The sequence below is a fragment of the Homo sapiens genome, chromosome 17 (genome assembly GCF_000001405.40).
Source record: "Homo sapiens chromosome 17, GRCh38.p14 Primary Assembly".
NCBI lineage: Eukaryota > Metazoa > Chordata > Mammalia > Primates > Hominidae > Homo > Homo sapiens.
In genome coordinates, this window is record NC_000017.11 from 68,553,489 (window position 1) to 68,567,577 (window position 14,089).

The following is a 14,089-nucleotide window of genomic DNA, read 5'->3' on the forward strand; positions in this document are numbered from 1 at the left end:
CTGGTGATGACTGGCCTGAGGGCTTTAGGGTCCAGACCCACCTATAACCAGGTCACAGCACTCCTGGAGGGGAGCTCTGCCACTCTCAGTCCTAGCTTTTTGATGCCATTAATCACTTATCCTAGTGAGTCTCAACTCTGGCTATATTAGAATCACCTGGGCCTCACCGTCTGAACTTGAATCAAAACCCCTGGGGGTGGAGGCTAGGCAGGAGCACTTTTTAAAGCTCCCCCAGTGATTCTAATACATATATATACACATATATATACATATATATACATATATACATATATACATGTATACACATACATATATACATATATACACACATTTATGCATATATACATAGACACACATTTATGCATATATACATATATACACACATGCATATATACCTATATACACATATATGCATATATACATATATACACACATATATGCATATATACATATATACACACATATATGCATATATACATATATACACACATGCATATATACATATACACACATATATGCATATATACATATATACATATATACACACATGCATATATACACATATACACATATACACACATATACACACATATATACATATATACACACATATATATACACATATATGTATACACACACATATATATATATATATATTTTTAGCTGGAGTCTCACTGTGTTGCCTAGGCTGGAGTGCAGTGGCACGATCTCAGTTCACTGCAAACTCCACCTCCCAGGTTCAAGTGAATCTCTTGCCTCAGCCTCCCACGCTCGTCTAACTTTTTATATTTTTTGGAAGAGACGGGTTTTCACTGTTGGCCAGGCTGGTCTCGAACTCCTGACATCAAGTGATCCACCCGCCTCGGACTCCCAGAGTGCTGGGATTACAGGTGTGAGCCACTGAGCCCGGCTGATTCTAATATTTTGTCAATAGTGGGCACCATTTGCTTCTTGAATTTGAAAGCGTGCTCCAATCACTTGAGGATTTTCTTAAGATTCAGATTCTGATTCAGAAAGAGAGTGAGGCTCTGCATTTCTGATGAGCTCCTCAGTGATGTTGATGATGCTTTTCCTGGGCCACGCATTGCCCAGCGGGGCCTATACAACCCTTCCCCTTAAGTGCCTTTTCTTGTTGTGGGTGGATGGGGAGAAACGTTGAGTTCTCAGAGGTTAGGCAGAGAGCCATGCTCCTTCCACTCTTGCCCAAGGTCGCCACTGGAGTGGGTTTTGGGGTTTGCACAGCTGTGAGGGTGAAGAGGCTGGGTGGGGGTGGGGCTAGGTCACTTACTCTGGGTGCAGTCACATGCCCCCAGCAAGGCTTTCTCATCTTGACTGTAATCTGCAAAGGAGGAGAAGGGCAATGAGAACTTCCAGTCTTGTTCCTGGGAGAGCCTACAACATGGAGGTCCCTTGACTCTGGTTCAGATCACCAGAGGGGAGACTGTGATGTAGCCTGGGGCCCTTGACCACTCCGTGGGAGGTCTCTTGGAGCCCAGGAGACTGTAGCCTCCTTCCCTGCTGTGTCCCAGACCCCTGCTCTCTAGCCCTTCAGTGGGCACTCCAGCAATACCTGGCTGGGAGACTGAGTCTGCTTTTGTCTCTGCTAATAATTTGCTGTGTCACTTAGATTGTCTTAGTGCTTGACAGCACAGACTTGGTATCAGCAGGCCTGTGTTTGAATTCCAGCTCCACCCCCTAGGTCCTTGGCCAAGTTACTTAACCTTTCTGTGTCTCAGTTTCCCTGTCTGTAAAATGGCAATGGTAATATCCATGCCATAAGGTCTTTGGTTGAAAGAGAATGTCGCCTGCTTCAAAAGCAACACTCAATAAATGGTAGCGATCACCTTCCTTTAGGTGTACCAAACAACAGCATACCTCCTTATGGGGTCAGGATGAGATTATCGCTATAGGATCTCTTCCAGAGGGAAAAAGATCAATGCATATGTTCCTCTTCTCTCAGGTGTCCATGTCAAGCCTCTAATGTTCCACTCTGGAGCCTAGCCTGGGATGCTTTACCCAGACTCTCTGGGAGAAAGTCAGTCCCCCCTTGCTTGATCCCATGAACCTTACCAGCACTGATGGTGGGAAAGTGCCTCATGTCTTGCAGAAGTTTGCTGACAACAGGGCTGGACCGGGAGTAGAGCCCATGGCGGTTAATACCCAGGTGGAACTGGACCCAGCTGGCCTCGAGTCGGAGCTGCAGTGGGGGGTCCAGGGAGGTAAGGTTCATCTGCTCTCTGTACATCTTGTGTCGCCTGAAAGAGCCAGATAGTTGTTCATTAGAGGAACAAGAATGCAAAGACCCACCAAGATACCTTGTCTGCAGTTTTTTATTCATCCTTTCATTTATTCCACAAGTGTATTAAGCATCTAATGAGGGCTAGGCTTTAAGCTGTGCTTAGGATATCTTGGGGAGCAAAACACCTGTGGGGTCCTTTCTTACCCTCAGAGGGCTTACACTCTAGTGAGCAAAACACACACATAGTTATACAATATCATACACAAATACTTAATTACAAACCAGGACAAATCCTGGGAAGGAAAAAAGGCAGATTGCTAAGAATAAAACTAGGGCCTCATATAATCTGGGATCTCAGGGTGAGACTGTGGGCCTCTTTATGCACTTTCTCATTAAAACTCCCTATCTTACATTTCCCAGTATTTTATGTTCCAAAGAATCAGAAGATAGAGGAGTGAAGGCAATTGGTGAGAATAAAAAGAAGAGAGGGTGCAGATCTTTAAGTGGGGCTGGAAGCTGAGTTAGATTATAAACGAAAAGAAGAATTAATGAGCCATTTACTGTTTGTTCTGCTTGGGTAGCCTTTTCTCCCAGGAAAAAAAGAGAAAAATAAAAAAGATGGTTCTACCATTTAGAGATGTAGACTGTAATTTAGGAGACAAGTTGTATGTTTATGAAATAACCAGAGCAAAATACAAAGCTGTTATAAATCAACTGCTAAACATGTGGCTCAGATGGAAAAGCCTTAACATTTTGGAGAAGGGAAAAGATGAATCTATGATGAAGTAGCCTGAGGACAACCACAGTGAAGAAGGCAGACTTCAGCTGGATCCTAAAGAACGGGGCAGGGAGGGGGGGTGGTTTGGCTTGAAGGGGACAGGGAGGGTACTCCTGCATTAAGGACAACATGAGCACTTTGAGAGGTAGGCAAGAAACGGATGTATCTGGGGATGAGAGAGGCAGGTTGAATAAATGCACTGTTGAATGAGAAGACGGAGGCCTCTGGGTTGGAAGGGAAGGCAAATTAGTATGATGTCATCTGGCTGGGAAAAGCTGATTGGGAGAGGTAGGTGGGATTATAGGGGCAGGGTTTTGCAGTTCCTATATATCCCTGTTTCTCAAACTGTGATAGTATACCTTGGGTCTGGGGTGGGGTGAAAAACAAAACAAACATGGCAGATTTGGGCGTGTCCAATTTTCTCATTGGTGGAGAGTTTTAAAAATTACCACTTTGGGAGGCTGAGGCAGATCACCTGAGGTCAGGAGTTTGAGACCATCCTGGACAACAATGATAAAGCCCCGTCTCTACTAAAAATACAAAAATTAGCCAGGCATGATGGTGCACACCTGTAATCCCAGCTACTTGAGAGGCTGAGGCAGGAGAATCACTTGAACCCAGGAGGTGGAGGTTGCAGCAAGCCGAGATCACGCCACTGCACTCCAGCCTGGGCGACAGAGCGAGACTCTGACTTTAAAAAAAAAAAAATTACTTTTCTATCAAAATAAAAATAGATGTATTATGGGGAAGGAAATAAAATATACCACAGGGATTTGAATCCATTTGTGATCTTAGTGATTGCAATGGACTGAATGTTTATGTTTCCTTCAAATTCATATGTTGAAATTTTAACTTCCAAGGTGATGGTATTGGAGATGGGGCCTCTGGGGAGTGATTAGGTTATGAGGGGGTAGCCCTCATGAATGGGATTAATGCCTTCATAAAAGAGACCCCAGAGAAACCCCTCACCCCTTCTGCCATGTCAGGTTATAGCAAGAAGACAGCATCTGTGAACCGGGAAAAGAGGCCTCACCAGAAATGGAATCTGCCAGCGCCCTGGTATTGGACTTCTTAGCCTCCAGAACTGTGAGAAATACATTTCTGTTGTTTACAAGTCACCCAGTTTATAGTATCGGTTACGGCACCCCAAACAGACTAAGGCAGTTTTGCTTCACCATTTCTCTCCTATTTCTGACACCCAGAATTAAGTGTAATATCCCCAGACGTGATTGCCCAGTGCAGAGGAGAATACGGTAATCACCACCCCCATTCATGGCGTTTTCCTTGTATGAACGTAACCCAAGACTGAAAATCTTTGGGAAATCATGTCACGTATCTCTAAGAAAACATGATTTTATGGTAAGCAGGATTCTAAAACTGGCCTCTAAGATTCCATGCCCTCATTTCCAGAACCTGTGACTATGAAGCACTCTCACTCCATGATTATGCTGCGTTGATGGCATTGTTGAATTTAGGGAGGTTGTCAAGGTGGGCCTGATTGAATCGCATGAGCCCTTGAAAGTAAAGTTTTTTTTCTGGCTGTTTTCAGAAGTCCAAAAGATCCAGGGCATCAGAAGCATTTGACACACTATTGTTGGCTTTGAAGACCCACTATTGTTGGGTCAAGTGGAAGGACCAGAAAGCCACCATGAGGAGCTGAGAATGCTTCCCGGCTGAAGCCAGCAAGGAAATGGGGGCAAGGAACTGAATTCTACCAACAACGAGAATGAGCTTGAAGGAGGACCCCTGAGCTGCTGACGAAAATGCAGCCAACCAACACCTTGATTTTAATCTTGTGAGATCCTAGCAGAAAATGAGTCATACCATCAGATATGGTTTGGATGTTTGTCCCCTCCAAATCTCATGTTGAAATGTAGTCCCCAGTGTTGAAGGTGGGGCCTGGTGGGAGGTAATTGTAACATAGGGGTGGGTCCCTCATGAATGGCTTAGCACCGTCTCCTTGGTGATGAATGAGGTCTTGCTCAGAGTTCATGTGAGATCTGGATGTTTAAAGGCATATGGCACCTCCCCGCTCACTCTCTTGTGCTCCTGCTCTTGCCAATGTGATGTGCCTGTTCTCTACCACCTTCTGCCATGAGTAAGTTTTCTGAGGCCCTCACCAGAAGCAGCATGCTTCCTGTACAGCCTGCAGAACCATGAGCCAATTACATCTTTTTTTAAAAAATAAATTACCCAGCTTCAGGTATTTCTTTTTTCCTTCCCTTCCTTCCTCCCTCCCTCCTTTCTCTTTCCTTCCTTCCTTCCTTCTTTCGACGAAGTTTTGCTCTTGTTGCCTAGGCTAGAGTGCAATGGCACAATCTTGGCTCACTGCAACCTCTACCTCCCAGGTTCAAGCGATTCTCCTGCCTCAGCCTTCTGAGTAGCTGGGATTACAGGTGCATGCCACCATGCCTGGCTAATTTTGTATTTTTAGTAGAGATGGGGTTTTACCATCTTGGCCAGGGTGGTCTTGAACTCCTGACCTCAGGTGATCCGCCCGCCTTGACCACCCAAAGAGCTGGAATTACAGGCGTGAGCCACCACACCTCGCCAGATATTTCTTTATAGCAACGCAAAACGGCCTGAAACATTATCCCAGACTTCTGACCTATAGGACAAATGGGGTGTTGTTCTAAGTGTCTAAGTTTGTGGCAATTTGTACTCAAAAATAAAAAACGAATACGTACTTTGTTCACAGAAAGGCTCAAAAGCTAAATGCTCTTATTTTAAGCATATGCTTTCATTTCTTTTAAAAATAACCCTAAGTAATATTTTTTATTAGATCTAGAAAACTATTCATACTCTGCAATAAAACTTTTATTTTCCCTCAAAAGCCATGCCATAGTATTGCCTTCTATTTGTGTTGGACAGTGAGGCCATTGCCTGGTAACACTGGCCTTCCTTTTAAGGAAAGAGAAAAAGTATATATCACAAAAATAAAGCACAAAGTCTTCATGGCTGTTGCTTTCATCAACAAAAATAAAACCTTAGTTACAAATCACATGATCTTCAGGGGAGAAGTAGAAATCACTTTGCTCCTGACTCTGCAATACTGGAATTTTCCTTGGAAATAGTTTCCTAAAAAGAAGAGTATTTCTTTCAGAAAAAAAGAGCATTTTAAAACGTTTGATTTTACTTATTTTTTAAGTAGCAAATGCATTTACATGGCTCAAAATGTTAAATGTCAAGACTCTTCCATCCTGTCCCTGAGTTAACCCGCTTCCCATCTCCAGAGGCAACTAATGTTGCTGGTGTTTTTCCCCATTGTTTTTTTCCACTTTTATTTTTATAGGTATGATAATATAAAATCCGCACTGTTCTGAAACTTGCTTTATTTTCCTGTCAATAGGTTCTGGTGATTTTTCCAATTCAGTACACAGAAAGCTCCTCATTCTTTGTTAAGTTCATCACATCATATTCCAGTGTATGAAAATCACATCATTAACCTGCTATGGTCTGAATGTTTGTGTTACCCCTAAATTCATATGTTGAAACCTAATCCCCAGTATGATAGTATTAGGAAGTGGGGCCTTTGGGAGGTGATTGGGCCATGAGGGCAGAGCCCTCATGGGTGGGATTAGTGCCCTTCTAAAAAATATCCTGTATTTTTAGTAGAGATGGGTTTCACCATGTTGGCCAGATGGTCTCAATCTCTTGACCTCATGATCCACCCGCCTCGGCCTGCCAAAGTGCTGGGGTTATGGTGACATGCACCTGCAGTCCCAGCTACTTGGAAGGCTGAGGCAGGAGAATCGCTTGAACCTGGGAGGTGGAGGTTGCAGTGAGCTGAGATCACGCCACTGCACTCTGGCCTGGCGACAGAGCGAAACTCCATCTCAAAAAAAAAAAAAAAAAGAGATTTCGGAATGCTATCTCATCTCTCCCACTATGTGAAGAGAGAAGGCTTCATCTATGAACCGGAAAGCAGGTCCTCACACTAGACACTGAATCTGCTGGTGGCTTAATCTTGGACTTCCCAGCCTCTAGTACTGCAAGAAATAAATTTCTTTTGTTTATAAGCCAATCAGTTTATGTTACTTTGTTATAGCAGTCTGAATAGATGAAGACATCATCTACTTGCAAACTTCTAGGTTGTTTGTAATGTTTTGTTATGCCGAGCGATGCTGGGACATTCTACCTATAAATATGACGTTCTGCATGTGTGAGAGTGTATCGGTATGATAAATTCTTATAAGTGTTGTTGATGGGTCAGAGGGTAGGTGCATTTATAATTGTTACTGATATTGCCAAAGTACCCTCTGCCAAGGCAAGATACTGCTAATCCCTCTCCCTCAGCATTGTATGAGACTATATTCAAGAAGCTTTGCCAACAGTGTAGTGACACTTCTTGATCCTTGTCAATCTAATAGGTGAAAAATGGTATCACAGTGCATTTTGAGTTTGCATCTCTATCTTGTTATGAGGGAAGCAGAACATCTTTTCCTCTGTTCAAGAGTCATTTGCATTACATTTGCCTATGTTTGTATTGAGTTGTTAGTCTTTTTCCTATTGAGTTTATACACTCAGAAAATTACATTTTTTCTCATATGATTTGCATTTTTCTCCCAGTTTGTTGTCAATCTTTTGACTTCACTTATGGTGATTTTTTAAAATGCAGAAATGTTGATTTTTTATAAGGTTGAAATGACCAACCCACTTATTCATGGCTCCAACTTGTGTGAAATTCTTAGGCCAGTCTCACGTTGAAATTACAAGAATAAGAAACCAAACCAAAGCATGGTTTCCTCTAGTATTTTGTGGTTTCATTTTTTTCCATTTAAATATCTGAGAGGTCTAGAATTTATTTAGATAAAATGTGTTAGGTATGGGTTCACCTTTCTTCCGCCCTCCAGGATGACTAGCTAGTTCTTTAACAATCATTTATTAAACAAATTCATTTTTTAGTTCACTGATTTGAAATGTCATCTTTGTCAGACAAAACATTTCCATTTGTATTTGGGTCTATTTCTGGAAGCTCCATTCTGTTTCATGCTCTGTCTGGCCATATTCCAAGGCAATGCTGTTGAACTTTTTTAACTTGATAAAACACTTTAACAGCTGGTGGGGCTAGTCTTTTTGATTGCTCTTTTTTTTTTTTTTTTTTTAAAGAGTTTTCCTATATAGTCCAACTTGTATACTTATCCACATGAATTTTACAATTATATAAACGCTTTCAAAATGGAAACCTTAAAAAGTTTTAAACAGGCTTATCAAGTAACCTTATTATAATGTCTTCTTGAATTATTGATGAGCGTGTAGTTGGCACATCGTTCTAGAGGGTAACTTCCCAGTACATTTCTTTCTTTCTTTTTTCTTTCTTTCTGTTTTATTTTTTGAGACAGAGTCTCCCTCTGTCACCCAGGCTGGAGTGCAGTGGTATGATCTTGGCTCACTGCAACCCCTGCCTCCCAGATTCAAGCAATTCTCCTGCCTCAGCCTCCCGAGTAGCTGGGATTTACAGGCGCATGCCACCACACCTGGCTAAGTTTTGTTTTTTCAGTAGAGACGGGGTTTCGCCATGTTGGCCAGGATGGTCTTGAACTCCTCATCTCAGGTGATCCACCCGCCTTGGCCTCTCAAAATGCTGGGATTACAGGCATAAGCCACCACGCCCGGCCCCCAGTACCTTTCAAAACGTGTAATGAGTGTACCCTTTGACTTAGCAATTTCACTTCTGCAACTTATCCTGTAGAATGATTTGCACAACTGTGCAAGAAAATATGTTCAAAGATGTTCATTATTGTTTGTAACTGTAAAAACTGGAGAAAAGAGAAATATCTAGGACAGGGGTATTTAAGAGATATCTCTATATGTAGTGACGTAGAAGGATGTCTAATTTCAGAACAGTGTAGAGTGGGTCTTTTTCTTTTTGCTAAAAATATCATATACAGGTGCTTATATAGACATAGACACTTTCATTTAGTGTGCATGAAAAGAGCACATACCAAACTCAATGATGGTGCTCCTTGGGGGTATGCATGAGTAGCTTCATTTTTACTTTATATATTTCTGTAATTGTACAATTAAACAAATTACACTGCAAGTTGTTTTTGCATACCTCTTTCTCATTCCTCCATGTGTCTCCCCATCTAGCATCCTTTTCCATCCCCCCCCCTTTTTATTTTAAGCATTGCATCTTCTCATTTGAATTGCATTTCCCAGACCTGGCAAAAAAAATATTTCCTCTTGTACTTGCATGATCTGTGACCCACAATTTCAGATCACAATGCCCCATCTCCTTGAGTCCCTGTGGTTAATTCAGGCATGTGCAAATGACCCAAGCTGTGTCAATCTGAGGATTCTTAAAGATTTTTCAAAGGCTAGCAGAGAAGAGCTGTTTTCATTTTCTGGGATTCTCAGCTATGAGAAGACTGTACATGAAGAGCTGCCAATGACCAGAAAGCCTGCCTGGTATTGCCACCACTGAGGAAAACTGAACAGTGAAGTAAGCAACAGAGGGCAAGAGGTTGCTCAAAGGCATCGTTTGAGTGCCTGGATGCAGCCATCATACTTGGACTTAGTTATCTGAACGGAATGGATCCCTTTCCTCCAGCTGGTTAGGACTAAGTTTTTAAGCTGCCCTTTGAAACATGCAAACAGCCGGGCGCAGTGGCTCACACCTGGAATCCCAGCACTTTGGGAGGCTGAGGCGGGCAGATCACCTGAGATCAGGAGTTCAAGACCAGCCTAGCCAACATGGTGAAATCCTGTCTCTACTAAAAATACAAAAATTAGCCGGGTGTGGTGGCAGGCGCCTGTAATCCCAGCTACTTGGGAGGCTGAGGCAGGAGAATTGCTTGAACTCGGGAGGCGGGGGTTGTAGTGAGCTGAGATCGTGACACTGCACTCCAGCCGAGGCAACAAGAGTGAGACTCCGTCTCAAAAAAAAAAAAAAAAAAAGAAAGATGCAAACCCCTTCCTGATGTGCCATGCACTTGCACTGGCTCTGGGAGATGGTGTCAGCTTCCACTTTTCACAGCCCACACCCTGGAAGGACAGAATCTCGTCTGCCCCATGATGTCCATGCAAGACTCTGAAATTTGTTCCCCATGTCCGCAGTTTTTAGGGGCTTTTTTTTTTCTTAAACAAACAAAACCACTTCCCTAAGATGATCTTATAGGTGGGTCAACATGATAGGCATCTTTCTCAATAACCTTCATCATCACGCAGTGCCCTTGTTTCATCTCCAGACTAATTTAGAGTTACTGTTGTTGTTTTAACCTCTTTAAATCTCCCTAAATCTTTCTCTTGAGATGGTTCCAAGATGTCAGTCCACTTCAATATCAGTCTTCACCTACAGAAGTCCTTCAAGGACCACCTCAGATGTCTCCATCTCTAGCATTAACCTTTCTTTGACTGTCCCAAATAAAGGATAAACAGCACAAAGGCCAAACACAGGGCTCTGTTTTGGTGTCACTGGTTGGTGACAATGATGACAATGCCATAGTTCGACCCCTGCTGTAATGAAGTGAGAGGGTCACAGAATGCACAGCAAGTCGAACAAGAACTAATCGGTAGTGCAGTAACAGAAAGGGATGCAGAGTCTGTGTCACAAGGACCTGGTTCTGCCTCTTACCAGTGGAGCATCAAAAATCAATGCTAGTGTCGTTGCTATGAACACGATGTCTCATGTGATCCTGCAGCCCCCCACGAGATACATATTCCTATCCACAGTTTGCAAATGAGAAGACTGAAGATAGGGTACAGGCTTAAAAAGTAGTTTAAGCCCTCTGAGCTTCAGTTTAGCTGTTGTGGGAAATGGGGAATGCTGATACTACCTCCTATACCATCAGAATTAAGTGCAGTAATATTCAACCATAGAGCAGGCATCCAAGAATGGTGGCTATTTTTAATCATGATTTTTACCACTTATAAAGATGAGAGACCAGGTGGATGATGATTTTTTTCAAAAACACTGTTCTACTGGCTAACCAGAAACAACCAGCTTTGCAAGCCACTGCAAAATCCCTTGGAACATCCCATAAGCAAGGGAATGGCATGTATGTCATACTTGCATTAGACACCACCACAATTTGCATGCCTTGGCATGTGTGTGAGACTGCAGATCATCCAAGGGACCTTGGAATCCTGCTGTAGCTTTTCTGTGGTCTCTTGGTGTGCAGACTAAGCAATAGGCAGGTTATCAAGGCATTAGAGGGAGAACCAAGGCAGGTCTGGGCTTGGGCCTTAGGAGGTGGGTGTCTGCAGGCATGGGGATGGCAGGAAGCCTGGAAATGGAGCTTCGGTGGCCTAAACGGGAGCCTGGAGTCCCATTTGCTTCCTGGGATATGGGAGCTGAGGGCGTGAGGAGGGTGCCAATCTGCACCCTGTTTTCTTCTGGGACCCTGAGGGCAGAGCCACTGGGGTGCTGCGAGTGCTCCAGACAGGGAGGGGAGACGGCTGTGACTCACAGGGTTCAGGGAGGATTTGGAAGGTTCTCAGAAGACTGGGCGGCTCCCCATGCTCCTAGTCACTAACCACACGGCTTCAGGTCTGAAAATCTTCCCCAGTGCCTAAATTTCCTTGTTTTGAGGAAATAGAAGGAATAGGTTTGGATCCCCCGCCTCCAAAGGTTTTAGAGCAAAGGTTTATGGCTGCTATATTCAACAGTTCTTTGGGGATTGAGGTCAGGCCCCTTTGGAGTAATTTTGATACCTGACCATGCAAATATAGACACAGCAATCCTCTCCAATGGGTGTTACAGTGGAGAAGTGGGGCAGTATCAGAAGGGGAAGCTGAGACCCCCATTTGTTCCCCTCCAAAACTATATAGCTAGCTGTTCATTCCTAAGGTCTCCCAGCTAAAAAGCACAGACATCTTTGGTTCCTGCCTCTTCCCAATCATTTTTAAATCCTGGAGTTTAACCTCCATTACCTCCTTTTTTTTTTTTTTTTTTTTTTTTTTTTGAGATGGAGTCTTGCTCTGTCACCCAGGCTGGAGTGCAGTGGCCCGGTCTTGGTTCACTGCAACCTCCGCTTCCTGGGTTCAGGCAATTCTCCTGCATTAGCCTCCCAAGTAGCTGGGATTACAGGTGTGTGCCACCAAGCATAGCTAACTTTTGTATTTTTAGTAGAGATGGGGTTTCACCACGTTGGTCAGGCTGGTTTTGAACTCCTGACCTCAGGTGATCTGCCTGCCTCTGCCTCCCAAAGTGCTGGGATTACAGGCATGAGCCATCATGCCCAGCCATCCATTACCTCTTAATTTTCCCCTTTTTTTCTGTTGCCTGTGCCTTAACCCTCTTATCTGGATCCTGGAATAGTCTCTTTACTGATATTCACGACCTCAGTCTTCTTCCCTTCTCCACTCCAGGCCTCCATCACTGCCAAATTCACTGTCCAGGGCACAGCTGCAAGCACTTATTTCCCTCCTATGAAATCCTTCAATAGGTCCTTGTTGTCCGTGGACTCTCATCCAAATTCCTACTTTAGCATTTCCCCAAGTGTTTTACTTCTTTAAATCTTCCTCCCCACCCATTGCCCTCCTACCTAAGTTCTATGTTTAGTGTTCCTGTACTTTCCTCCCACCTCATGCTGTTCCATCACCTTGGAATGCCTTCTTCTACACTTTCATCTCCAGAAATTCCTCCCAGCCAAACTCCCATGGAACTTCCTCCTTGAATCTTTTCCAGTCCTACAACCAACCAGATGTGAGCTTTCTTTCTCACTCCCCCAAATTTTCATAAAACTCCAATTTCTTTTATTGTTCTTGCCATATTTTGAGTAATAGTGATTTAGGCATATTTCTCATTTCTTCTAACTGAGGGTGGGCAGAGGCAATGTCTTACTCAACTTTGTGCCTCGTCCAAAACTTAGCACAGCACCTTGTGCACAGAAGGTACTTAACACTGATTATGGAAAGAAGTTGGAAGCTCTCCACTAGTACTGACATATGCAGCTACTATGGCCTGAGTATATTTTTGGTATTAGTGGGTTACAAAATATTTTAGGGGTTTGATGGTTTATAATCCAAGACAAATATGGTCTTTTTCAGAGTATTTCGCTCCAAGTTGTGTACAAAGAAAACTTTCTAAATAAAGGAACTCCCCAGGAGTTAGGCAATGCTACAGCAGGGTCAAAGAGGGAAAACAGCAAAAGCGTTAGTCAGGATTAGACACTTCTCTATGAGTTTGAACATCACTGGGTAGTTCAGAGCTAAGGGTTTGCATAGGTATACAATGTATCTCTCTGTTTTTAGTTGCATTGGGACAAACTAACTCCAAAATAATTTAATTCAAAATCATTTTGATTGCACTGGAGAAAACACATTTCTTTTGATGGGTAGTTTTAAATGCTGACTCTCCAGGAGAAAATAAAAGCTTTCAGTGTCTTCAGATATGAAAATAAACGGTCAACATGAAAGATGTTATTCTGATCTTTCAAAATTTAAGGAACTTCCTTGGATTTACTTCTGCATCTTCGGTCACTTAGTCCGTGTCTCCTTTTCAGTCTACCTTGGTCTGTCATTAAATACAACAATTCTGAAAGCTTCTGTTCTGGCTTTTTTCTTTCTCCCTCTAGCCTTGCTTTGGATGTGATTGCATCCACCGCCCTAGCTTCAATGATCACTTGTGTGCAAAGGACTCATAAATTTTTTCTTCCAGCTCTCTCAGCAGTAGACTCATAAATTCCACTGCTCATATCTGTAAAGGACAAGATAGCAAATATTTTAGCCTTGGTGGACCCTATGGTCTCTGTCTCAACTGCCCAAACCTGCTGTTATTGCACGAAAGGGGCCTTAGGCAATCTGTAAACGAACAGGCAAAGCTGTGTTCTAATGCTGCTTTTTTTGTTTGTTTTTACAAAATCAAGTGGTCATGGGCCAGATTTTGTCTGCAGGCCACAGTTTGCCAACCCCTGCCTTAAAAACATCTACATTCAACATGTTTAAAACTAAACTCTTGATTGTCTCTCTAAGCCTGGGCCTCAGTTGTGGCTTCTGTTCTGCCCAGTGAAGGCCACCTGTCATAGGTCAGGTTCTCCCTGAAGCTGGCCCTGGGCTTTGGGTTTAGGAGCAGGTGATTCATTATGAAGGTGCTCCCTGGAGAAACCAGTAAGAAAGTGAGGACAGGG

The 14,089-nt window shown here is 43.2% G+C and overlaps 1 protein-coding gene across 11 annotated transcripts in view; it reads right to left on the minus strand.

Moving 5' to 3' along the window:
- The window catches only part of FAM20A (FAM20A golgi associated secretory pathway pseudokinase), a 66,252-nt gene that overhangs the window by 18,373 nt on the left and 33,790 nt on the right, over positions 1-14,089 (minus strand). For 9 of the 11 annotated variants that reach the window (XR_002958041.2, XR_934487.4, XR_001752543.3 and 6 more), the window contains 2 exons: positions 2,071-2,255; positions 1,289-1,339 (listed from right to left, as the gene is read on the minus strand). Coding sequence is in view for 6 of the 11 variants with exons in the window: in NM_017565.4 (NP_060035.2) it covers positions 1,289-1,339; positions 2,071-2,255 (236 nt within the window). In the remaining 5 variants the exon portion in view is untranslated. Of the gene's footprint in view, positions 1-1,288; positions 1,340-2,070; positions 2,256-4,841; positions 4,940-14,089 lie in introns of those variants that run through there. The other 2 variants (NR_027751.2, XM_006721959.4) reach the window with 1 other exon arrangement.